The sequence below is a fragment of the Homo sapiens genome, chromosome 14 (assembly GCF_000001405.40).
Source record: "Homo sapiens chromosome 14, GRCh38.p14 Primary Assembly".
Classification (NCBI taxonomy): Eukaryota; Metazoa; Chordata; class Mammalia; order Primates; family Hominidae; genus Homo; species Homo sapiens.
In genome coordinates, this window is record NC_000014.9 from 31,199,899 (window position 1) to 31,222,814 (window position 22,916).

Sequence of the window (22,916 nt, forward strand, 5' to 3'; positions counted from 1 at the left end):
CACAATTAACCTCCACAGGTGCTTGACTCTAAAATTTTTCTCTAATCCAGGCTTCACCTCCAATTTCCATTTATACAACTGCTTACTTAATATCTCCACTGAGATGTCTCAAAAGTACCTCATACTCAACATATCCAAACCCAAACTCATGATCTCAATCTCTCAAACATGGTCCTCTTTCCAGTGTTCTCTCTCAGTGAGTGGCATCATCATCCATTGTAACCTGAGTCATCCACGACACTTCCTTCTCCCTCTCTCATATTTAATCATTCGACAAATCCTGACTATCTTGCCTTCCAAATCTCTCTCAAATATATTCAACTTTCTACTTTTATCACAAAACCCTCTATCTCTCTGGATCATAGCCTCCTATCAAGTCTACAAGCATTTGTTTGTTTTGTTCCCACTTCCTATCTCTCCTTACTCATCCTTCCTAGCTCTAGGAAAAACCACTTCCCCTTTCTTGGCCAGGCACGGTGGCTCACGCCTGTAATCCCAGCACTCTGGAAGGCCAAGGCGGGAGGATCACTTAAGCTCAGGAGTTCTAGATCAGCCTGGGGAACCTAGTGAGACCTTGTCTCCATCTAATTTAAAAAAAAAAAAAAAAAAAAAAGGTCACACCTGTAATCCCAGCACTTTGGGAGGCCAAGGCGGGCGGATCACTTGAGGTCAGGAATTCGAGACCAGCCTGGCCAACATAGTGAAACCCGATCTCTACTTAAAAATACAAAAAGTAGCCAGGCATGGTGGCGTGTGCATGTAATTCCAGTTACTGGGGCGGCTGAGGCAGGAGAATCACTTGAACCTGGGAGGTGGAGGTTGCAGTGAGCTCAGATCACGCTATTACACTCCAGCATGGGTGACAGAGCAAGACTCTTGTCTTGAAAAAAAAAAAAAGAAAAACCACTTCCCCAAAGACCACTCTGCCCATCCCCACCTCTCCAGGTCTTGTCCCTGCTTCATGCTGTCACAGTACCCTGAGCTTTTCCTTCATGACATTTAACACAGTTTGTAACCACATTTTTTCCCCACAATTATCTGTTTTCCCTATTAGACTATTAGGCACATAAGGTGCTGTATTTGTTTTGGTCATCACCATATCTTTCCAAGACCTAACATAAAGTAGACAATTTAAAGTTAAAAAACTTGTTCCTGTACAGGTATTTTTTTACCTTTTAGTGTAAACATATCAAAAAAGATTTTTTTACCACTGTGTTCAATAACTTTGGAATCCAGACTCAAAACAATGTTCCTTGGATATCTCTTGAAGGATACACTAGGAAATGATTAACAGTGGTTTCCTCTGGGAAGAGGAACCAAGTAACCAGGAGACAGGAAAGGGAAGACAACGGACTTTTTACTGTATATCCTTTTGTGCCCTCAAAATTAAGTGACATCATTATTTTTTAAATAAAGCCTACTAGCACCTAAAAGCATCTTCTGAGATGCTCAATTTCCAGAGGACATAACTTTCAAATTATATTCAGATTTAGTAGCAAGATCTAGAAATGCCCATAATACATATTTATAACATTAATACATATGATGATCACCTATTTTGATGTGAATACAAAATGCTCATTAGCTAATAACTCATATTACTATTACTTACTTTTTTTTTTTTTTTTGGAGGCACGGTCTCACTCTGTCACCGAGGCTGGAGTGCAATGGCACAATCTTGGTTCACTGCAACCTCCGGCTCCCAGGTTCAAGAGATTCTCCTGCCTCAGCCTCCCAAGTAGCTGGGATTACAGGCACATGCCACAGTGCTCAGCTAAATTTTGTATTTTTAGTTGAGATGGGGTTTCACCATGTTTGCCAGGCTGGTCTTGAACTCCTGACCTCAAGTGATCTGCCCACTTCAGCCTCCCAAAGTGCTGGGATTACAGGCATGAGCCACCGCACCCGGCCATGTTTACATTACTACATTTTAGAACTCGATACATCAGGTAAAAGCAAAAACGAATCTTGAACGTGTTTTACTTTCTGGAGCATTACCTTGATAAGTTCAGGCATTAATAAGAAGCACTGACACATCATAGAAGAAGTTATATTCGTTGAACTTCAGAAAGACACTGTCAAAATGGGTACAAACAGTGGAGAGCCGGCCGGGCGCGGTGGCTCACGCCTGTAATTCCGGCACTTTGGGAGGCTGAGATGGGTGGATCACAAGGTCAGGAGATTGAGACCATCCTGGCTAACACAGTGAAACCTCGTTTCTACTAAAAATACAAAAATTAGCTGGGCATGGCTAAAATAGCACTGCGCTCCAGCCTGGGTGACAGAGCGAGACTCTGCCTCAAAAAAAAAAAAAAAAAAAAGTGGAGAGCCATGTACAATACTAAGTTAAAGGAAAAAGAAATCCTTGACTATTATCCCATTTATTTTCAGAAAAATCCTGCAAGGATGAGGAAACAGACTTCAAAGGCTATCACACAACTATTCAGTGGAAAAGGCAGGTATCTGAACCCAAGTCTATCCCATTGCAGAGGCCACTGTTTCTACCACACCACCTGCCTTTCCTGACTAAACAGATGTGAAACTATTAAGACAAGCTAATTAAGCAAACATATTATCAGGACATACAGGCATGTTTTGGTTTATTAGACAGAACTAAGTCCTATTTGCTACTACTTTATGAAATCAAGGTAGTATGAAAGATTTTTACCAATATTCAAAATATGCACATCATCTTGCTTTTTTTGCCTGCTGGGAGTTGATTGTTTAAAAGAATTTTAAAAGACCTTTCCAAATCAATCACTTTATTCATGGAATAAAGTGCTAAAATAAAATTCAAAATTAGATATTTATTAATGATGGCATCAGTGGGTAGCCCACTTTACTCAAAACACTTAACATACATTCTCTCCTTTAATCCTCACAAGAAGGCCCACTGGAAAAAAGACTACTGGCTGGGCATGGTGGCTCACACCTGTAACCCCAGCACTTTGGGAGGCTAAGGCAGGTGGATCAGGAGATCAAGAGATGGAGACCATCCTGGTCAACATGGTGAAACCCCATCTCTACTAAAAATACAAAAATTAGCCAGGTATGGTGGCACGCACCTGTTGTCCCAGCTACTCGGGAGGCTGAAGCAGGAGAATCACTTGAACCTGGGAGGCGGAGGTTGCAGTGAACCAAGATCGCACCACTGCACTCCAGCCTGGGCAACAGAGCAAGACTTCATATGAAAAAACAGAAAAGAAAAAAAGACTACTGCCATTTTACAGGGGAAGAAAGTAAGGCTCTCAGAGGCTAATGAACACAACAGACCAAGAATCTGAACCCAAGTCTCTGATGCCACAGCCCATTCTTTCCATCTCACTATGCCTCCCTCACTAGTTTCAAGAAGGAACCAGGACAATTTTCCCTTGTAACAACAAGAAAATCTGGCTATAGAATGAAAAGCAAACTAATGTTTAAAAACAAAACAGTCACAAAATTAAACCAAATGTCTAGTTTTTGGAGGTTACTGGTACACTACCCCAAACACGGCTAACCCCTTCAACTTGAAATACTCTTGTATCTTCATATAGTAAATCATATCTGACTTAACTTTAGGTTCATTTCCTTAAAATTACATTATAAAGCCAGGTGTGGTGGCACAGCCTATAGTCCCAGCTACTGAAGAGGCCGAGGCAGGAGAATCGCTTGAACCCAGGAGCTCGAGGCCAGACTGGGCAACATAGTGAGGCCCCAGTCTCTTAAAAATTACATCATACTATATATGAATAAAGCCTAGAAAGGAAAATGGAAAAAATAACAGCTGTTATGTTAGGATGGAAGGATTTTACATAGAGATAAATTTTATGTTTTAAAAATTTCATTTAAATTGTTTTAACATGGCAACACTTTTTTTTTTTATTATACTTTAAGTTTTAGGGTACATGTGCTCAACGTGCAGGTTTGTTACATATGTATACATGTGCCATATTGGTGTGCTGCACCCATTAACTTGTCATTTACATTAGGTATATCTCCTAATGCTATCCCTCCCCCCTCCCCCTACCCCACAACAGCCCCCGGTGTGTGATGTTCCCCTTCCTGTGTCCAAGTGTTCTCATTGTTCAATTCCCACCTATGAGTGAGAACATGCATTTGGTGTTTTGTCCTTGCGATAGCTTGCTGAGAATGATGGTTTCCAGCTCCATCCATGTCCCTACAAAGGACATGAACTCATCATTTTTTATGGCTGCATAGTATTCCATGGTGTATATGTGCCACGTTTGCTTAATCCAGTCTATCATCGATCGACATTTGGGTTGGTTCCAAGTCTTTGCTATTGTGAATAGTGACACAATAAACATACGTGTGCATGTGTCTTTATAGCAGCATGATTATTATAATCCTTTGGGTATATACCCAGTAATGGGATTGCTGGGTCAAACGGTATTTCTAGTTCTAGATCCTTGAGGAATCGCCACACTGTTTTCCACAATGGTTGAACTAGTTTACAGTCAGTCCCACCAACAGTGTAAAAGTGTTCCTATTTCTCCACATCCTCTCCAGCACCTGTTGTTTCCTGACTTTTTAATGATCGGGCAACACTTTTTTAAATGTCATAACAAATACTTCTACTACATATTAGTACTAAACAGAAGCTACGAAATGACAATTGACTTGACTGACAAGTATGATTTTTAAAATACCAAAAGTAACTTTCAGGTTACCTCTAATGAAATCTATGAACGCAATTTTTAACTTGAGAGTCAGGATGAGGAAAAAAATAAAAAATAAAAATAAATTTTAAAAAATCTACTTTACTATAAATCCTGCTAAAACAAGTGTCAACTAAGGGCTAAGTTATTCTTACATACTCAAAATTCTGCCAATGACAAAAACTAATGGAAATAAATGGACCACTAACTAATTGTAATTTGGAAATTTTATTAGTAAGGATTTTTATCTTAGTACTGTTTTAACAAGAGTTACAACTGAAAGTTATTCAATAATCAAAAATGAAGGTACTTTAAAAATTTTGCCAACTGAGTAATATAAACTTTATTCCCACCTAAAACACATTAGGATAATTATACCAAATTTTTTAGGTCAACATCTCAAACATTTTCTACTAATTACCTTAAAATAGCATTAAAATGAATAAAGAAACATCAGAGTTTTCAATTACTTATTACTGGAGTTCAAAACTGTAAATACAAATGTAAAATAAACAGTAAAAACGAAACACATGTTCAACACTCAGAAGAATGGTTATTCTGACTGGACAAGTTATGACTTATATAAGAGGGAAAAAAATGGCTGTAAGGTCTATCTAGTAAGAATTCTCTTTTATATTTTTGCATATATACTAAGTTATAACCTCCCAATAAAACTGTTTAAACTCCCCAAACTTCAAAATGTTTCTACTACTCCAAATTTTCTACTCTTCTGCTACACGGTTAAGATCCAATTTATACCTTCCCAAACTGAAATTTACAAACCAATAATCGGCTTTAACAAAAGTACTGTCATATGACAACATCAATGAAGAAATGGGCAGTTCAAAACATATGTTTATTATCATCTCTTATTCCATAAATCAATTTCATGGTACAGAAATAGATACCTTTAAGAAAATAAATATTTGTATTTTCCCCAGTTCATGACATATTTTGAAAATGAACCAACCAAGCTATGGGTTAAAATTAATATTCCTACTAATTCCCATTCATTCAACAAATATGTATTTGTGTCATCGTAATCATCAGTCCTAGAGTTTCTTCACCTACCAATTTTTATTTCTTGGAAAAGTGTAAACACAAAACTCTTCAGGAATATTTTTAAAGATACGTGTTAAAATTCACTAGAGAAATTTCTACACAAACTGAAGTCAGCAAATGGTTGAAAACAGATGTCACTACAGTAACCCAAAGGAACATGATGAAGGAATGTACTTACGTTTCAAAACAACGATCCACGTTGTCAGACATCAAAAGCAGCATGCATAGCTGTTCAAGGGCTATTAGTTGCATGTCCCTTTCATCTCCCTGTCCCATCTGTAGCCATTCCAGCAATGTATCTGGGTCCACATCTGCCATGGTTTTTTAAAAGTCTCTTTGCTTAAATTTGAAAAGTAAAGGGAGAAAAGTCCTTTAAATTCCGGGACTGAACAGCTTGGGCTTAAATTTTTCTTCCTTTACATCTGCTAGAACCAAATTTTCATAGTGTCCTCCTAGCAATTAAAAAAGACTCCTAAGTACGTTTGGACGTAAGAGTGCTTAATGCAGTTTTTCAACTTTCCTTATCCGCCAGGTTTAACGTACAGATATCATACCAAATGAAAACCAGTTTTGCACAAGAGTATATAAGCTGATTAGGTTGCTGCTTAACTAGAAACCAGAGCTGTCTGTGTCAAAGACAGTCAGTCAAGCTTCAGGTCCCACTACTGCTATCACTAAAGTCTATGCCAAAAGGCAAAGAACACCTAACTAAAGGTTCTGTTTTTTCCAGCAAACTTCATCCCCCTCCTTCTCTACCCAAAACTGATCTTCAGATAAGGGTTAGATTCAGTATTTTGAGGAAACTCTAAACACCTTGATCCAATCCCCCTCCAAATTGTTTCTCCTTCAAAATTACCTCCAATTTCACATATTCTGCTGACTTCTCAATTTACTTCTATTTTAAAGATATCCAAATACAAACGACAATTATATACAAGATTTATCTATGAATAAAGAGTTGGTTAGGAATTTTGGCAGTCTTGGCAACTATTCTTAAAAGTTAAAAAAATAAAAAAATTAAAAAAGGAAAGGCTAAAAGTAAATGCAATGGACCAGCAGGTTACGGATCCGAACGAATGTAGGCCAACCTAGGGCCCTCTTTCCCCAGCTTCACAAGATAGGGCAGTTGGTTAAAAAAACAAAAACAAAACCGAGAAGCAACCCCAACAGGTAAGTCATTACAAAAGCGCCCCGTAAGCGCCCTGACTGGAGGACAGCTTTGGGTCCCACGTAACGCAGCCGCAAGTGTGGGAAGCCGGCGGCGGGGCGCGGTGGGCACCCAACGGCGGCGACCAGCGGGGTTGACCCCACACCCGGGGCCCGGCCGAGCCGGGCGCTGAGAGGCGCTGGCCCCCGCGCTGTGGTTCCCCAGCACCAAACCCCGCTAAGTTAACTACCTGTGTCTACGAGGAAGGGAAGTTCTGGAGAAGCAGCAGCAAGCCTTCGTGCCCGAGAGGAGGCCGCCGGGCCAGGCAGGGCGCCGGCTCTCCCGGGAGCTGCGCCCGGAACTCGAAGGCCTGGCAGCGAACCCTTCTCAAGGGCAAAAGGAGCCGGCCTGAGGCTCTGGCGCGGGCAACCGGGCCCCGCCGCCGGCAGGGCCCCGGGAGGGGAACAAAGGGGCCAGCGGGGAAGTCGGCAGCAGCCTGGCCGACCTCACTCGGCGCCGGGGTCTCGCTTTCCGCCACTCGCCGGGCGTCCGGGATCCGCGCCCCCACGCAGGGCCCTTCCGACGGTCCGAGGCGCTCCCGCCTCCCCTTCCCGCAGGCTCTTACTCGGGCTTGTCGTTCCAAACCGCTCCGATCCAGCTCCCAACAGGCCGCCGGCAGAGCCAGGCCCGGCCGCGGCCCTAGAGTTCCCAAGAAGCCGCAGGCCGCGCAGGTCGAACCGGGCAGGCGGCACAGGAAAAGCCGCGCCTCGTCCCTCCCCTTCCTCCGCGAGGACCTGGTGACAGGGAAGCGAGAGGTTCTCGCGTGCGGCAGCAGCCAGCGGACGTCCAGTCCCCAGCACGCGGCTCCTCAGGCCCTGCAACTCAGAGGCCCGCGCGGTGCTGCGGGCGACGGCGGCGGCGGCGCGGCGGGGAGGCCCAGTCCATCGCGAACCGGGAGGGGGAGGGGAGGAGGGTCGAGGGAGAGCCAGGCGGGGAAGCTGCCGAGGGCAGCCGAGCCCGGCGGAGGCGGAGCAAATCCACTCCCCCGGCGGCGACCCCGCCGGCGGCCACCTGGGGCGCTGCGGGACGGCCGACCGCCGCGCAGGGGCGCCAAACCGGGTACGCCGCGTCGCCGTCCCTGCCCCGGAGCTCTCGCCCCCGCCGCCTCGGGCTGTGTCGTACGTTTCTGCCGCGGCTTTTCTATGGTGCGCCCTGGCCCCCTTTTCGCTTCCCTGTCAGTCCGAGCGCGCTCATGCACGCACGTCCAGCTTGCTTGGCGCCGTGGCTAACACTTTGCGCGCTCCTGCGGAGGGCGTCGCACGGCACAGCACAGCAAAGCTGCGGCCCAACCTGTCCCCGCTGAGCCTTCCGCCCAGGCCACCCGCACTCAGCCACGATCTTCCCTCCTCGCGCACGGAAGTGCGTCGCGTAAGGAAGGCGTCTCCCCCCGCTCCTGGGAGGCCGACCGCCTGGCGGTTCACCCCAAAGAAAACCCTTCAGAGCAACCCTGGGAAAGAGGTGCTGCCGACGATTATCAACGTTGTACAGATGAGACACTGAGGCTCCAGGAAAGCGCAAATGCAGGCCCAGCGCCGTGCCCGGTCGGCAGCAGCACTGAGAGTGCACTTTTGACTACGTTTCTTGTGGCTTGTGGTCACAAGTATGTCTGTGGTTATTCTTTTCAAACTTTATTTCACACGCATTCAGAATAAAGGATGCATGCTTATAGGACGTAGTTGGAGCCCGGAGACGTCCTACTGTACTCTCACTTTCAGCTTTTAAACAAAAAGAAAAATTAATACGACATGATAGTGTTTGAGACATGGTCCCTCAGGCAACCAGAGGAGCTGCTAGGTATGAGTAAAGAACAGAATTTGGGTCCGCTGCGTTTCCTGTAATCCCAGCACTTTATGATTTTACTCTCTTGAGGCCCGGAGTTCGAGACCAGCCTGAGCAACATAGACCTGGTCTCTGCAAAAAAATTAAAATTTAAAAAATAATTACCCAGATGCGGTGACGCACACCTATGGTCCCAGCTACTGGAGCGGTTGAGATGGGATGATCCCTCGAGCCCAAGAAATTGAGGCTGCAGTGAGCTTTGATAATGCCACCTCACTCCAGCCTGGGCGACTAAGCAAATTTGTCATTTCCAAAATACTGGTTCTTTTTTTTCTTTCTTTTTTACTACTTCTTTAGAAAAAGAACCAGTATTTTGGAAATGACAAATTTGTACTTCAGATAGCTATCCGCGCATGTCCCGTTGTCGCAGGTAATGGTCCGTTTAGGTATCCTGTTAACGAAACAAGAGGAAAAAGAGGATTCAACTATTTTGTCCCAAGTACAACACATGAGGATAATTATTTAGATGTCATGAGTGTGAATTGGAGCTGCCAGGAAACTTCAAGAAGGAAGTGGCATTCCCTCTGGACCTTGAAGAATGGGTACAATGTAGACACTGAAAGGAAAGGGAAGAACATAAAGCCTGATATGTTCCTAGACATAGGAAAGGTCACCTGTGCCCCCAGCAAAGAACCAACAGTAAGCAACAGAGAGAGAAATTTGGAGCTAAAGTGGGGAAGGCCTTGAATGAGGAATGCAGAAATTAGGCTGAGCTAAGTAGCAAGTTCTGGACTACAACACTGGAAAAACTAGTCTTAAGAAGACTAATTATGGAAAGTGTCTAGAACGACTAAAAGGATCTATCTAGACGAGACTAGCTGGAGGTTGTCGAAATGCTGCAATAATGGAGGAAAGAAAAGTCTAGTTATTGGCAATATGAATGGGGAAGAAATCTAAAAATAATTTTTGAAAGAAGATATATCAGAATTTAAATGATTAACTTAAAAATTTCCGTCCAGGCTCCATGGCTCACACCCGTAATCCCAGCACTTTGGGAGGCAGAGGCAGGGGGATCACTTGAGCCCAGGAGTAGGAGACCAGCCTAGGCAACATAGGGAGACCCTGTCTCTACAAATAATTTTTAAAATTAGCTGGGTGTGGTGGTGCACACCTGTAGTCCCAGCTACTCAGGAGTCAAAGGCAGGAGGATCACCTGAGCCCTCGAGGTCGAAGCTGCAGTGAGCCATGATCATGCCACTGCACTACAGCCTGGGCAATAGAGCAAGACCCTGCCAAAACAAAAAACAAAAACCCTTAACGTAGAAAGAGGACTTGGAAGCTAGGAAAATGGTGATGCTATTAACAAAAAATAGAAAAGTTAGAAAAAGGGATTATACCTTTACCAAGTTTTTTGTTGTTTTTTTTTTTTTTTTTTTGAGACGGAGTCTCGTTCTGTTGCCCAGGCTGGAGTGCAGTGGCATAATCTCGGCTCACTGCAAGCTCTGCATCCCGGGTTCATGCCATTCTGCTGCCTCAGCCTCCCGAGTAGCTGGGACTACAGGTACTGGCACCCACCACCACGCCTGGCTAATTTTTTGTATTTTTTAGTGGAGATGGGGTTTCACCATGTTAGCCAGGATGGTCTCGATCTCCTGACCTTGTGATCCGTCCGCCTTGGCCTCCCAAAGTGCTGGGATTACAGGCATGAGCCACTGCGCCTGGCCACCTTTACCAAGTTTTTAAGATATATATTTTTTTATCCTGCACTATCTCTACATGTACCACCCACCCACTTCCTGCCCGCAAGATTAATGTCTAGTGTGCTTTAAAGAAACCTTATCAAAAGAATGCTGTGACACTTATTGCACTTTTTAAAGATGTTATTATCATATTTATTTTGATTTTTATTTAGAGGCAGGGTCTTGCTCTGTGGCTCAGGCTGGAGTGCAGCAGTGTGATCCTAAATGACTGCAGCTTCCAACTCGTGGGCTCAAGGCGATTCTCCTGCCTCAGCCTCCGGAGTAGCTGGGACTACAGGCCCATGCCACTACACCCAGCTATTTTTATTTTTTTGTAGAGACAGGATCTAACTATGTTGCCCAGGCTGGTCTCCAACTCCTGGGCTCAAGCAATGCTCCAGCCTTGGCCGCCAGAAGTGCTGGGATTATAGGAATGAGCCACATGCCCGGCCCATGTTATTATTTTAAACTCAAACAGAAAAAAAGAATTCAAGCATGAGATCCCAGAACAAGAGCATTAAAGGAGAGAAATGAAGTCATGAAGACAACAAAATATCCGGATAAAGGCAACTGACCAGACTTGAATACTTATCCCAAGAAACCAGGAACTGTTTACATGTTGGTATTTCCCATTGCTTCCAAAATCCAAGAATCATAGACCATCGAGAACTGCTCTGTGCCAGGCTCAGTGTAAGGCTCAGTAGTCACAGACCTCTTCCTCAATAAAGGTAGATGTAAACACACTCCTCTGAGTCTCCTCTATCATACCGCTTATTAGGTGATATTGTCAGGTACATGCTGGGAACATTAAGGAGGTAGGAGATGGCATCTTGGAAAGCTTCAGGAATGAAGTGTGAATTAAATCTCAGATAATGAGTCACAGCTGGCCAGATAATTAGGAAAAGCATATGGACAGGCACAGAGGTACGAAGAGGGTCCCTCTTGGCAGAATGAAGCAACAGGCTGCCTTTTGACTGAGGCTCCACATTGGCGAAGGAACTTCGATGTGTACACAGTCGCTGGGATCAACTCACAGGACTATTAATAAAAAGGAAGATATTCATCATACAAATCTAAACTCATTTCATCAACTGGTATGTACTATGAATTAATTTTCTTTTCTTTCCTTTTTTTTTTTTTTTTTTTTTGTGACGGAGTTTCACTCTTGTTGCCCAGGCTGGAGTGCAATGGTGCGATCTTGGCTCACCGCAACCTCCGCCTCCTGGGTTCAAGTGATTCTCCTGCCTCAGCCTCCCGAGTAGCTGAGATTACAGGCATGCACCACCATGCCTGGCTAATTTTTTTGTGTTTTTAGTAGAGACGGGGTTTCTCCATGTTGGTCAGCTGGTCTCAAACTCCCGACCTCAGGTAATCCACCCACCTCAGCCTCCCAAAGTGCTGGGATTACAGGTGTGAGCCACCACGCCCGGCCTATGAATTAATTTTCTAGAGTTAACCTTATAGTTATGAATAGCACAACAATAAACCATTATGTTTTTTGTGTATCAGAGGCATAATTGGTAGATGAAAACCTATAAAATATGCTACAGAAAATGTTTGGACATGTCTTCAAGTTTGAACTACAAATGTAAGTGTCCCTGGCTATCCTCAACTTCTGTGAAGTTCTGGGTATGAAAGAATGTGGTCTGCAATTGGAAAGAGTGGGAAACTAAGTTTGGTTGGTACCTAGAGTGGTGTTAGTGGCTGGAAGAGATCATTGAAGTTAATTGGAGACAATTTCTTAAGGGTCTTGAACACCGTAATGAGTTTGAACTTTGTTCTTTGGGCAAGGGGAGCCTTTGGATATTTAAAACAAGAAAGTACTGAGATGGCATGTAGGTTTTAGGATTATTAACCACTTTAAAGTTAAAATCTGTTTCTATTATGCTTTACAGTTAGCAAGATATGTTATTTTATTTTATTTTTTGTTTTTTGGGGTTTTTTTTTTGTTTTTGAGACAGAGACTCGCTCTGTCATCCAGGATGGAGTGCAGTGGCACAATCTCAGCACACTGCAACCTCTGCCTCCCAGGTTCAAGCGATTCTCGTACCTCAGCGTCCTGAGTAGCTGGGATTACAGGCCTGCGCCACCATGCCTGACTAATTTTTGTATTTTTAGTAGACACAGGGTTTCACCATGTTGCCCAAGTTGATCTCCACCTCCTGGACTCAAGGGATCCATCCACCTCAGCCTCCCAAAGTGCTGAGATTACAGGGATGAGCCCCAGCGCCTGGCTACAGTTAGAAAGATACTTTAATATATATTATTATTTAGTCTTTATACATTAGTTTATTATATATATAAAATGATTAACACTTAAAATAGGTATTTTCCGTGTTTTTATTTATTTATTTATTTGAGACAGAGTCTTACTCTGTCACCCAGCTGGAGTGCAGTGGCACGATCTCAGCTCACTGCAGCCTCCACCTCCTGGGTTCAAGCGATTCTTGTGCCTCACGAATAGCTGGGACTACAGGCGCACACCACCAAGCCTGGCTAATTTTTGTATTTTTAGTAGAGACAGGGCTTCTCCATGTTGGCCAGACTGGTTTCGAACTCCTGGCCTCAAGTGATCCACCCTCTTCAGCCTCCCAAAGTGCAGGGATTACAGGCATGAACCACTGCACCCAGCCAGGAAACTGTGGTTTGGAGATGTTAAATAACTTTCCCAAATTCACCTACCTAATAAAATGGGGAACTGGGTTTCAAACATCCATCTGCCAACTCTCATATGTATACTTGGTCATACCATTTTGTAATCATTGGAGCTAGTAGATCAAAGTAAAATGCATTGCTTCATGAAGTAATAATTTCCCAACACTGGAAATATGACAGAAGAGACTGGATAACAAGTCAGGAATGGCTCAGGGGCTGTGGCATACACCTGTAATCCTTGCATTTTGGAAGGCTGAGGTGGGAGGCTCGCCTGAGTCCAGGAGTTCAAGACCAGCCTGGGTAACATAGTGAGACCTCATCACTATAAAAAGTTTTTAAAACTTAGCCTACAGTCCCAGCTAGTCCAGAGGCTGAGGTAGGAGGATCACTTCATCTTAGAAGACTGAGATTACAGTAAACCAAGATCATGCGACTCCATCCCAGCCTGGATGACAGAGTGAGATCCTATCTCCCCTCCCCCTCTTTCTGTGTCTCTGTCTCTGTCTCTCTGTCTCTCTCTCTCTCTCTCACACACACACACACATACACACACTAGTCAGGGATGGTGCACAGTACTACTCAGGTGCACAGTACTTTAGCATGAGAGAAAGTAGAGTAGATTATCTTTAATCTTCCTTCAGATTCTAAGAGCCATAGAGTTGAAGACATGGATTTGAGAATGAAACCTGTCCCTTACTAGTTGTGAGACTCCGAGGAAGTCATCTAACCTCTGAGTTTTTCCTCTTATGTAAAATAAAGGTAATACCTGGCCAAGAGCAGTGGCTCACTCCTGTAATCCCAGCACTTTGGGAGACCAAGGCGGGTGGATCATGTGAAGTCAGGAGTTCAAGACCAGCCTGGGCAACATGGTAAAACTCCGTCTCTACGAAAAATACAAAAATTAGCCGGGCATGGTGGTGTATGACTGTAGTCCCAGCTACTGGGAAGGCTGAGGCATAAGAATCGCTTGAACCTAGGAGGTGGAGGTTGCGGTGAGCAGAGATTGTGCCATTGCACTCCAGTTTGGGCAACAGAGCGAGACTCTGTCTCAAAAAAAAAAAAAAAAAAAACCCAGGCCGGGCGCGGTGGCTCACGCCTGTAATCCCAGCACTTTGGGAGGCCGAGGCGGGCGGATCACGAGGTCAGGAGATCGAGACCATCCCGGCTAAAACGGTGAAACCCCGTCTCTACTAAAAATACAAAAAATTAGCCGGGCGTAGTGGCGGGCGCCTGTAGTCCCAGCTACTCGGGAGGCTGAGGCAGGAGAATGGCGTGAACCCGGGAGGCGGAGCTTGCAGTGAGCCGAGATCCCGCCACTGCACTCCAGCCTGGGCGACACAGCGAGACTCCGTCTCAAAAAAAAAAAAAAAAAAAAAAACCCAAAAAACAAAAAAACCTTAGTTTCCTTATATATCAAATGGGATAACAATAGCTACATAATTTGATGGATATTATAAAAACTGAAGGAGATTATGTGTTCAAAGAAGGTCAATAGTTCTCCACCTTAATTGCACATTAGATTCACCTGGGGAACTTTTTAAAAAAATAGACTTTTCTTCCTTTCATGTCTTCTTCTTTTTTTTTTTTTTTTTTTGAGACAGGGTCTCCATATTGAGACCTGGAATACCTGAAATATTATTGCTTCTAGGTTTTAAAATAGATCTTCTTCCTTTTTTTCTTTTTTTTTTTTCAAGACGGAGTCTTGCTCTGTCACCAAGCTGGAGTGCAGTGGCGCAATCTCAGCACACTGCAACCTCCACCTCCCAGGTTCAAGCGACTCTTCTGCCTCAGCCTCCAGGGTAGCTGGGACTACAGGCGAATGCCACCACACCCAGCTAATTTTTATAGTTTTAGTAGAGACAAGGTTTCACCATGTTGGCCAGGATGGTCTCGATCTCTTGACCTCAAAATCCACCCGCCTTGGCCTCCTAAAGTGCTGGGATTACAGGTGTGAGCCGTCACGCCTGGCCTTTTTTTTTTTTTTTTTTTTCAGACAAGGTCTCAATACTGAGACCAGGCTGGCCCGAAACCAACCCACATTCCAGGCCAGGCCTCAAACTCCTGGACTCCAGTGATCTTCTCACTTGAGCCTCCCAAGTAGCTGCAACTACAACCACATGCCACCTTTCTCTGCTGCTCATATATTTTTAGTGCTAAATAATATCCCACTGTATAGATATACTACAGTTTATCTATTCACCTGCCAAAGGACATCTTTTGTTGCTTCCAGGTTTTGGCAATTATGAATAAAGCAGCTATAAGCATATATATGCAGGTTTTTGTGTGGACATTAGTCTTCTGCTCTTTTGGGTAAATACCAAGCAGTATGACTGCTGGATTGTAAAGTAGGAATATTTTTTTTTTTTGAGATGGCATCTTGCGCTGTCCCCCCAGCTGGAGTGCAGTGACATGATCTCAGCTCACTGCAACCTCCGCCTCCCAGGTTCAAGCAGTTCTCCTGCTTCAGCCTCCTGGAGTATTTTTAGTTTTATAAGAAACTGTCAAACTGTCTCCCAAAGTGGCTCTACCATTTCACATTCTCACCATCAAGGAATGAGAGTTCTTGCTCCATATTCTTGCCGGCATTTGGTATTGTCAGTGTTTTGGATTTTTGCCGTTCTAATAGGTGTTTAGTGTTATCTTATTGTTGTTTTAATTTGTAATTCCTTAATGATATATGATCTCAAACATCTTTTCATATGCTTATTTGTCATCCATATGTCTTCTTTAGTGAGATGTCTGTTCAGGTCTTTTGCCCATTTTTAAAATCATGGCATTCATTTTCTTCTTATAAGTTTTAAGAGTTCTTTGTAAGCCTGGGTAATATACTAAGACCGCATCTCTACAAAAAAAAAAATTTTTTTAATTAGCTGAGTGCAGTGGTGCACACTTGTGGTTCCAGCTACTTGGGAGGCTGAGGTAGAAGGATGTCTTGAGTCCAGTGGGTCTGAGACAGCAGTGAGCCATGATCACACCACTGCACTCTAGCCTGGGCAACGGATCAACAACCTATCTCAAAAAAAAAAGGTTATTTGATGATAAAAGTCCTTTATCCAATATGTCTTTCGCAAATATTTTCTCCACCTGGGGAACTTTTAAAATTCTGAGTGTCCAAGATATACCTCAGGCCACTTCAATCAGGATCTCTGAAAATAGGATCCAGGCATCAGTTTTTTTGTTTTGTTTTGTTTTGTTTCTTTTTCTGAGATGGAGTCTTGCTCCACTGACCAGGCTGGAGTGCAATGACACAGTCTTGGCCCACTGCAACCTCCACCTTCCAGGTACAAGTAATTCTCCTGCCACAGCCTTCTGAGTAGCTGGGACTACAGGTGTGTGCCACCACACCTGGCTAATTTTGTATTTTTATTAGAGAGGGGGTTTACGCAATGTTGGCAAGACTGGTCTCAAACTTCTGACCTCGTGATCTGCTTGCCTCGGCCTCCCAAAGTGTTGGATTACAGGCGTGAGCCACTGCGCCCAACCTTTTTTCTTTTTTTTTTTTTTTTTAAGCGTAGTCTCACTCTCGCCCAGGGTGGAGTGCAGTGGTGCAATCTCAGCAAACTGTAATCTCTACCTCCCGGGTTCAAGCAATTATCCTGCCTCAGCCTCCTGTATAGCTGGGATAACAGGCACCTGCCACCATGCCCAGATAATTTTTGTGTTTTTAGTAGAGATGGGTTTTCACCGTGTTGCCCAGGCTGCTCTTGAGCTCCTGGCCTCAGGTGATCTGCCCACCTTGGCCTCCCAAAGTGCTGAGATTACAGGCATGAGCCACCACACCCGGCTTTTTTCTTTTTTATTTGAGACAGAGTCTTGCTCTGTCACCCAGGCTGGAGTGCAGTGGCACGGTCTCCGCTCACTGCAACCTCCGCCTCCCGGGTTCAAGCACTCCTTTCACCTCAGCCTCCTGGGTAGCTAGGACTACAGGTACTCACCAGCACACCTGGTTAATTTTTGTATGTTTTGTAGAGACGGGGATTTTGCTATGTTGCCCACGCTGGTCTTAAACTCTTGAGCTGAAGTGATTTGCCCAGCTTGACCTCCCAAAGTGTTGGGATTACAGGCAAGCCACTGTGCCTGGCCCATATTTTTTTCTTTAAATATTCTTTTAATCAGTATTAGCATTGAAAAATATTTGACTTTCTTTTTTTTTGAGATGTAGTTTCACTCTTGTTGCCCAGACTGGAGTGCAATGGCGTGATCTCGGCTCACTGCAACCTTTGCCTCTCAGGTTCAGGTAATTCTGCCTCAGCCTCCCGAGTAGCTGGATTTAGGGGCATGCGCCAGCACACCCAGCTAATTTTGCATTTTTAGTAGAGACGGGGTTTCTCCATGTTGGTCAGGATGGTCTCAAACTCCGGACCTCAGGTGATCTGCCCGCCTTGACCTCCCAAAGTGCTGGGATTATAGGCATGAGCCACCGTACCTGGCCAGACTTTCTACATTTAATGTATCTTTCATATAATTTTAATTATATTTGAAAAACTTCGAATAATTGAATAATGTTGTTTCCCTGCTTCACTATCTCTTCCCATATCTGTGATAGCTCTTCCACTTCAAGAATGAAATCAAGGCCAGGTGCAGTAGCTCATGCCTGTAATCCCAGCACTTTGGGAGGCTGAGGTGGATGGATCACCTGAGGTCAGGAGTTCAAGACCAGCTAGGCCAACATGGCAAAACCCCATCTCTACTAAAAATACAAAAATTATCTGGGCGTTGTGGTGGGTGCCTGTAATCCCAGCTACTCGGGAGGCTGAGGCAGGAGAATCACTTGACTCAGGGAGGCAGAGGTTGCAGTGAGCCGAGATCATGCCATTGCACTCCAGCCTGGGCGACAAGAGTAAAACTTCGTCTCAAAAAAAAAAAAAGAAAAAGCCGGGCATGTTGGCTAATGCCTGTAATCCCAGCACTTTGGGAGGCCGAGGCAGGTGGATCACCTGAGGTCAGGAGTTCAAGACCAGCTTGGTCAACATGGTGAAACCCCGTCTCTACTAAAAATACAAGAATTATCTGGGCGTGGTGTTAGGTGCCTGTAATCCCAGCTACTCGGGAGGCTGAGGCAGGAGAATCACTTGAACCTGAGAGGTGGAGGTTGCAGTGAGCCAAGATTGCACCACTGCACTCCAGCCTGGGTGACAGAACAAGACTCCGTCTCAAAAAAAAAAAAAAAAAGAAAGAAATTAAAACACCTCAACATTACATTCAGTGCCCTTCACAATATGCTGCCTTTCCATTCTTCCATTCTCATCTCTTGACATCACGCCCATTGTCTCAGGCTTACTGGTTGTTGTCAGTCTGTAGACATAAGACATCGGTATATATATATATATATATATATATATATATATATTTTTTTTTTTTTTTTTTTTTTTTTTTTGAGACGGAGTCTTGCTCTGTCAACTAGGCTGGAGTGCAGTGGCACGATCTTGGCTCACTGCAAGCTCCGCCTCCTGGCTTGACGCCATTCTCCTGCCTCAGCCTCCCGAGTAGCTGGAACTACAGGTGCCCACCACCATGCCCGACTAATTTTTTTGTATTTTTAGTAGAGACGGGGTTTCACAGTGTTAGCCAGGATAGTCTCAATCTCCTGACCTCGTGAACCGCCTGCCTCGGCCTCCCAAAGTGCTGGGATTACAGGTGTGAGCCACTGCGCCCGGCGGCATCAGTACTTCTTAAAGAGCTCTAGGTCACCAATGTGTAGCCAAGGCTGAGAACCACTGACCTAGGTCAATATAATAATAATAACATATTGGCCTCAAATGATCTGCCTGCCTCTGCCTCCCAAAGTGCTGAGATTATGAGTGTGAGCCACTGCACCCAGCTTGTCTCTAATAAAACTTTAAAGAAAATCTTGCCAATGCCGTCTCGAAATTCAGTTACATCAATTATATCATCTCAATAACATTCGGGGAAGCTGGGTTAAGGGCATATAGAAAATTTTAGGCCAGGCACAGTGGCTCATGCCTGTAATCCCAGCACTTTGGGAGGCCAAGGCGAGTGGATCACGAGGTCAGGAGTTCAAGACCAGCCTGACCGATATGATGAAACCCCGTCTCTACTAAAAATACAAAAATTAGCTGGGCGTGGTGGCATTCACCTGTAGTCCCAGCTACTCGGGAGGCTGAGGCAGGACAATCGCTTGAACCCGGGAGGTGGAGGTTGCAGTGAGCCAAGATCGCCCCACTGCACTCCAGCCTTGGCGACAGAGGGAGACTCCATCTCAAAAACTAAAAAAAAAAAAAGAAAATTTTTAATTACCTTTGCAACTTTTATAACCCCAAACTTATTTCAAAATAAAAAGTTAAATAAGAAGTAAGTTTAGCTTGAGATGACTAATTCTTAGTAATGCTGTCTTCTAAGAATCACTGCTTATTTTCTAAAGATTTCAAAAATGATTATTTAAAAATAAATTCTGGAATTTGGACAATTTGTTACATGATTCACTATATCTTACCATGTCCCTTGGTAGTGAAGAAAAAAAAAATAATAGTTGTAAAATTCGTGTGCTTTATGTTTCTAGTTAGTTGTTCCATGGCTAAAAAAATCTTTCTATAATATGCTCTTTGTAAACATCCTGTCCCTTTTATCTTAAGGAAAATTATTCTTGCCAATAAATAAAATATGTATTACTCTGCATAAACTTTACTTGTATACATAATATTACTCTGCATAAACATACTTGGATACATAATAATTACTTTATAAGCCCAGTTAAAAGAAAAGTGGGATCTAATTTGTAAAAATGTATTCAATAGAAAACTTTCAAGAACCCAGGGCCAGGCAAGATGGCTCACTCCTGTAATCCTAGCACTTTGGTAGGCTGAGGCAGGAGGGTGGATCACTTGAGCCCAGGAGTTAGCGACCAGCCTGGGCAAGGTAGAGAGACCCCATCTCTTTAAGAAAAATAAATTTTTATTTTTAATCTAAAGTTTTTTTTTTTTAAAGAAAACTTTCAAGAACCTAAATTCTGTAGATAATTATATTTTCTTATTATAGATTGCAAAATGTGCACATTAGGGGAAAAAGTTATATAATTGTTGTATGATTTTGAAAACTGGGGCCAGGGGTGGCTCATGCCTGTAATCCCAGCACTGTGGGAGGCCACCGAGGTGGGTGGATTACCTGAGGTCAGGAGTTCGAGACCAGCCTGACCAACATGGTGAAACCCCATCTCTACTAAAAATACAAAATTAGCCGGGCGTGGTGGCCTATGCCTGTAATCCCAGCTACTCAGGAGGCTGAGGCAGGAGAATCGTTTGAACCAGGGAGGTGGAAGTTGCAGTGAGCCAAGATTGTGCCACTGCACTCCAGTCTGGGCAACAGAGCGAGACTCCATCTCAACGACAACAACAAAAATGTCCTAATTGCTTAGAAATTCATGCAAAATTATTTATAGGTAAAATGATATGGTAATTAGGATTACTTCAAGGTCATTTGAGTGGACAGTGAGTAGAGTACAGATGAACACAATTGGCCATATACTGAGTAGATCCATTGAATATTAATAATGGGTATATTATAGTACATAATTATACTAGTGTTTATACTTTTTGTATGTAATGAAATTTTGTAATTTTTTTTAAATATGGGAGGACTAGGAGGATAAAGGAAGCAATACTGACACAGTATTTCTAGGCAATCTGAGAGAAATATTTCTTAATAAACGTATCATTTAACCAAATTAGTATCTATGGAAAGGGAGACAGCTATAGTTATATGCTTACGCTTTTTAATTTTTTTATAATTAAAAAATTTTTAATTACTTTTAAATAAGAGACAGGGTCTTGCTGTGTTGCCCAGGCTGGTCTCAAACACCTGGGCTCAAGCAGTCAGCCCACCTCAGCCTCTTAAAGTGCTAGGATTACAGGCATGAGCTACTGCATCCAGCTTACTGAAGCTTTATAAAACTTAAAATAGTTTAAGTAAATGTGTTCCTGTATTTACTTTGTTACATAAAAAATTAAACAGGTACCATTATTCTAGGAAAAAACAAAAGGAATGACTATTTTAAAAATTAACTTAAAAAATACTTGTACAGGGCTCATTATGTACCCAGTCACCACTTCAAGTACTTTTTTTTTTTTTTTGGAGACGGAGTCTCGCTGTGTTGCCCAGGCTGGAGTGCAGTGGCACCATCTTGGCTCACTGCAGCCTCTGCCTCCCGGGTTCAAGCAATTCTCCTGTCTCAACCTCCCGAGTAGCTGGGACGACAGGTACCTGCTACCACGCCTGGCTAATTTTTGTATTTTTAGTAGAGACAGGGTTTCACCATATTGGTTAGGCTGGTCTCGATCTCCTAACCTCAGATGATCCACCTGCCTCAGCCTCCCAAAGTGCTGGGATTACAGACATGAGCCACTGTGCCCAGCCTCAAGTACTTGTACTAACTCATTTAATCCTCCTAACAATCCTTAAAAGGAGATAATGTTACTATGTCCATTTTACAGATAGGGAAACCAAGACCTGCAGAGATTAATTTGTGTAAGATTACACATCTGGTAAATGACAGGGCAGATTTTGAATTTAAAAAGTCGGTGCAGAAGCTCCTAGCTGTCTCTCTAGGTTAAATGATTTTTTTTCCCTGATGACAAGAAGTAATACACCTTGAGGAATCAAGCCTATAGAAATTATAGTGATTGCAGAAAAAGAAATATACCAGGATGTTTACTGTAGAATTTTTGTATTTGTTAAATATTGAAAACAGCCTATATGTCCTGTCAATGGCAGAGTGAACAAATAAAATATGAGACATTCATCTAATCTGTGAAGATGTTAAAAAGAAGACTGACTGGCTGGGCACGGTGGCTCACGCCTGTAATCCCAGAACTTTGGGAGGCTGAGTTGGGGGTGGTGCTGGGGTCGGGGGGAGCAGTGGATCACGAGGTCAGGAGTTTGCGACCAGCTAGTTCAAGACCAGCCTGGCCAACATGGTGAAACCCTGTCTCTACTAAAAATACAAAAATTAGTTGGTGTGGGCCAGGCACGGTGGCTCATGCCTGTAATCCCAGCACTTTGGGAGGCCGAGGCAGGCGGATCACAAGGTCAGGAGTTCGAGACCAGCCTGACGAACATGGTGAAACCCTGTCTCTACTAAAAATACAAACATTAGCCGGGCATGGTAGTACGCGCCTATAATCCCAGCTACTCAGGAGACTAAGGCAGGAGAATTGCTTGAACCCAGGAGGCGGAGGTTGCAGTGAGCCGAGATCTCACCATTGCACTCCAGCCTGGGTGACAGAGTGAGACTCCATCTCAAAAAAGAAAAAAAAAATTAGTCCGTGTGGTGGCATGCACCTGTTATCCTAGCTACTTGGGAGGCTGAGGCAGGAGAATTGCTTGAGCCTGAGGCAGAGGTTGCAGTGAGCCAAGATAGCACCACTACACTCTAGCCTGGGCCACAGAGCAAGACTGTCTCGGGAAAAAAAAGAAGACTGACTTAGAGAAATGACAAATATTTTAAACTGGAATAGAAAGTTGCAGAATCATGAACACATTAAGATCTCATTTTAAAAAAGTTAGGCCAAGCACGTGGTTCAAGCCTGTAATCCCAGCACTTTGGGAGGGCAAGGCAGGTGGATCACTTGAGGTTAGGAGTTTGAGACCAGCTTGGCCAACATGGTGAAACGTTGTCTCTACCAAAAATACAAAATTAGCCGAGCATGGTGGCAGGTGCCTGTAATCCCAGTTACTCAGGAGGCTGAGGCAGGAGAATTGCTTGAACCTGGGAGGTGGAGGTTGCGGTGAGCCAAAATGGTGTCACTGCACTCCAGCCTGGGTGACAGAGTGAGACTTTGTCTCATAAAGAAGAAAAAAAAA

The 22,916-nt window shown here is 43.8% G+C and overlaps 1 protein-coding gene across 21 annotated transcripts in view, besides 9 other annotated features; it reads right to left on the reverse strand.

The window, feature by feature from the left end:
- Positions 1 to 7,895, reverse strand: part of HECTD1 (HECT domain E3 ubiquitin protein ligase 1) — a 107,677-nt gene extending 99,782 nt beyond the window's left edge. For 11 of the 21 annotated variants that reach the window (XR_001750215.3, NM_001437350.1, NM_001438022.1 and 8 more), the window contains exons 1-2: positions 7,118 to 7,895; positions 5,899 to 6,059 (exon numbers count right to left, since the gene is read on the reverse strand). Coding sequence is in view for 20 of the 21 variants with exons in the window: in NM_001437350.1 (NP_001424279.1) it covers positions 5,899 to 6,038 (140 nt within the window). In the remaining variant the exon portion in view is untranslated. The remainder of the gene's footprint in view (positions 1 to 5,898; positions 6,060 to 7,117) is intronic. The other 10 variants (XM_017021153.2, XM_047431208.1, XM_011536621.3 and 7 more) reach the window with 1 other exon arrangement.
- Positions 6,787 to 7,300: an enhancer, noted in NCBI's record as "H3K27ac hESC enhancer chr14:31675891-31676404 (GRCh37/hg19 assembly coordinates)". NCBI's record gives its function as "activates a minimal SCP1, AML or CMV promoter by ChIP-STARR-seq in primed H9 embryonic stem cells {active_cell/tissue: H9 hESC(primed)}" and the evidence as "EXISTENCE:reporter gene assay evidence [ECO:0000049][PMID:30033119]".
- Positions 6,942 to 7,151: a silencer, noted in NCBI's record as "silent region_5653". NCBI's record gives its function as "represses an Ori minimal core promoter by ATAC-STARR-seq in GM12878 lymphoblastoid cells {active_cell/tissue: GM12878}" and the evidence as "EXISTENCE:reporter gene assay evidence [ECO:0000049][PMID:35858748]".
- Positions 7,272 to 7,481: a silencer, noted in NCBI's record as "silent region_5654". NCBI's record gives its function as "represses an Ori minimal core promoter by ATAC-STARR-seq in GM12878 lymphoblastoid cells {active_cell/tissue: GM12878}" and the evidence as "EXISTENCE:reporter gene assay evidence [ECO:0000049][PMID:35858748]".
- Positions 7,782 to 8,121: a silencer, noted in NCBI's record as "silent region_5655". NCBI's record gives its function as "represses an Ori minimal core promoter by ATAC-STARR-seq in GM12878 lymphoblastoid cells {active_cell/tissue: GM12878}" and the evidence as "EXISTENCE:reporter gene assay evidence [ECO:0000049][PMID:35858748]".
- Positions 7,782 to 8,324: a biological region, named in NCBI's record as "H3K27ac hESC enhancer GRCh37_chr14:31676917-31677428".
- Positions 7,813 to 8,324: an enhancer, noted in NCBI's record as "H3K27ac hESC enhancer chr14:31676917-31677428 (GRCh37/hg19 assembly coordinates)". NCBI's record gives its function as "activates a minimal SCP1, AML or CMV promoter by ChIP-STARR-seq in primed H9 embryonic stem cells {active_cell/tissue: H9 hESC(primed)}" and the evidence as "EXISTENCE:reporter gene assay evidence [ECO:0000049][PMID:30033119]".
- Positions 8,302 to 8,471: an enhancer, noted in NCBI's record as "active region_8230". NCBI's record gives its function as "activates an Ori minimal core promoter by ATAC-STARR-seq in GM12878 lymphoblastoid cells {active_cell/tissue: GM12878}" and the evidence as "EXISTENCE:reporter gene assay evidence [ECO:0000049][PMID:35858748]".
- Positions 8,302 to 8,836: a biological region, named in NCBI's record as "H3K27ac hESC enhancer GRCh37_chr14:31677429-31677940".
- Positions 8,325 to 8,836: an enhancer, noted in NCBI's record as "H3K27ac hESC enhancer chr14:31677429-31677940 (GRCh37/hg19 assembly coordinates)". NCBI's record gives its function as "activates a minimal SCP1, AML or CMV promoter by ChIP-STARR-seq in naive and primed H9 embryonic stem cells {active_cell/tissue: H9 hESC(naive and primed)}" and the evidence as "EXISTENCE:reporter gene assay evidence [ECO:0000049][PMID:30033119]".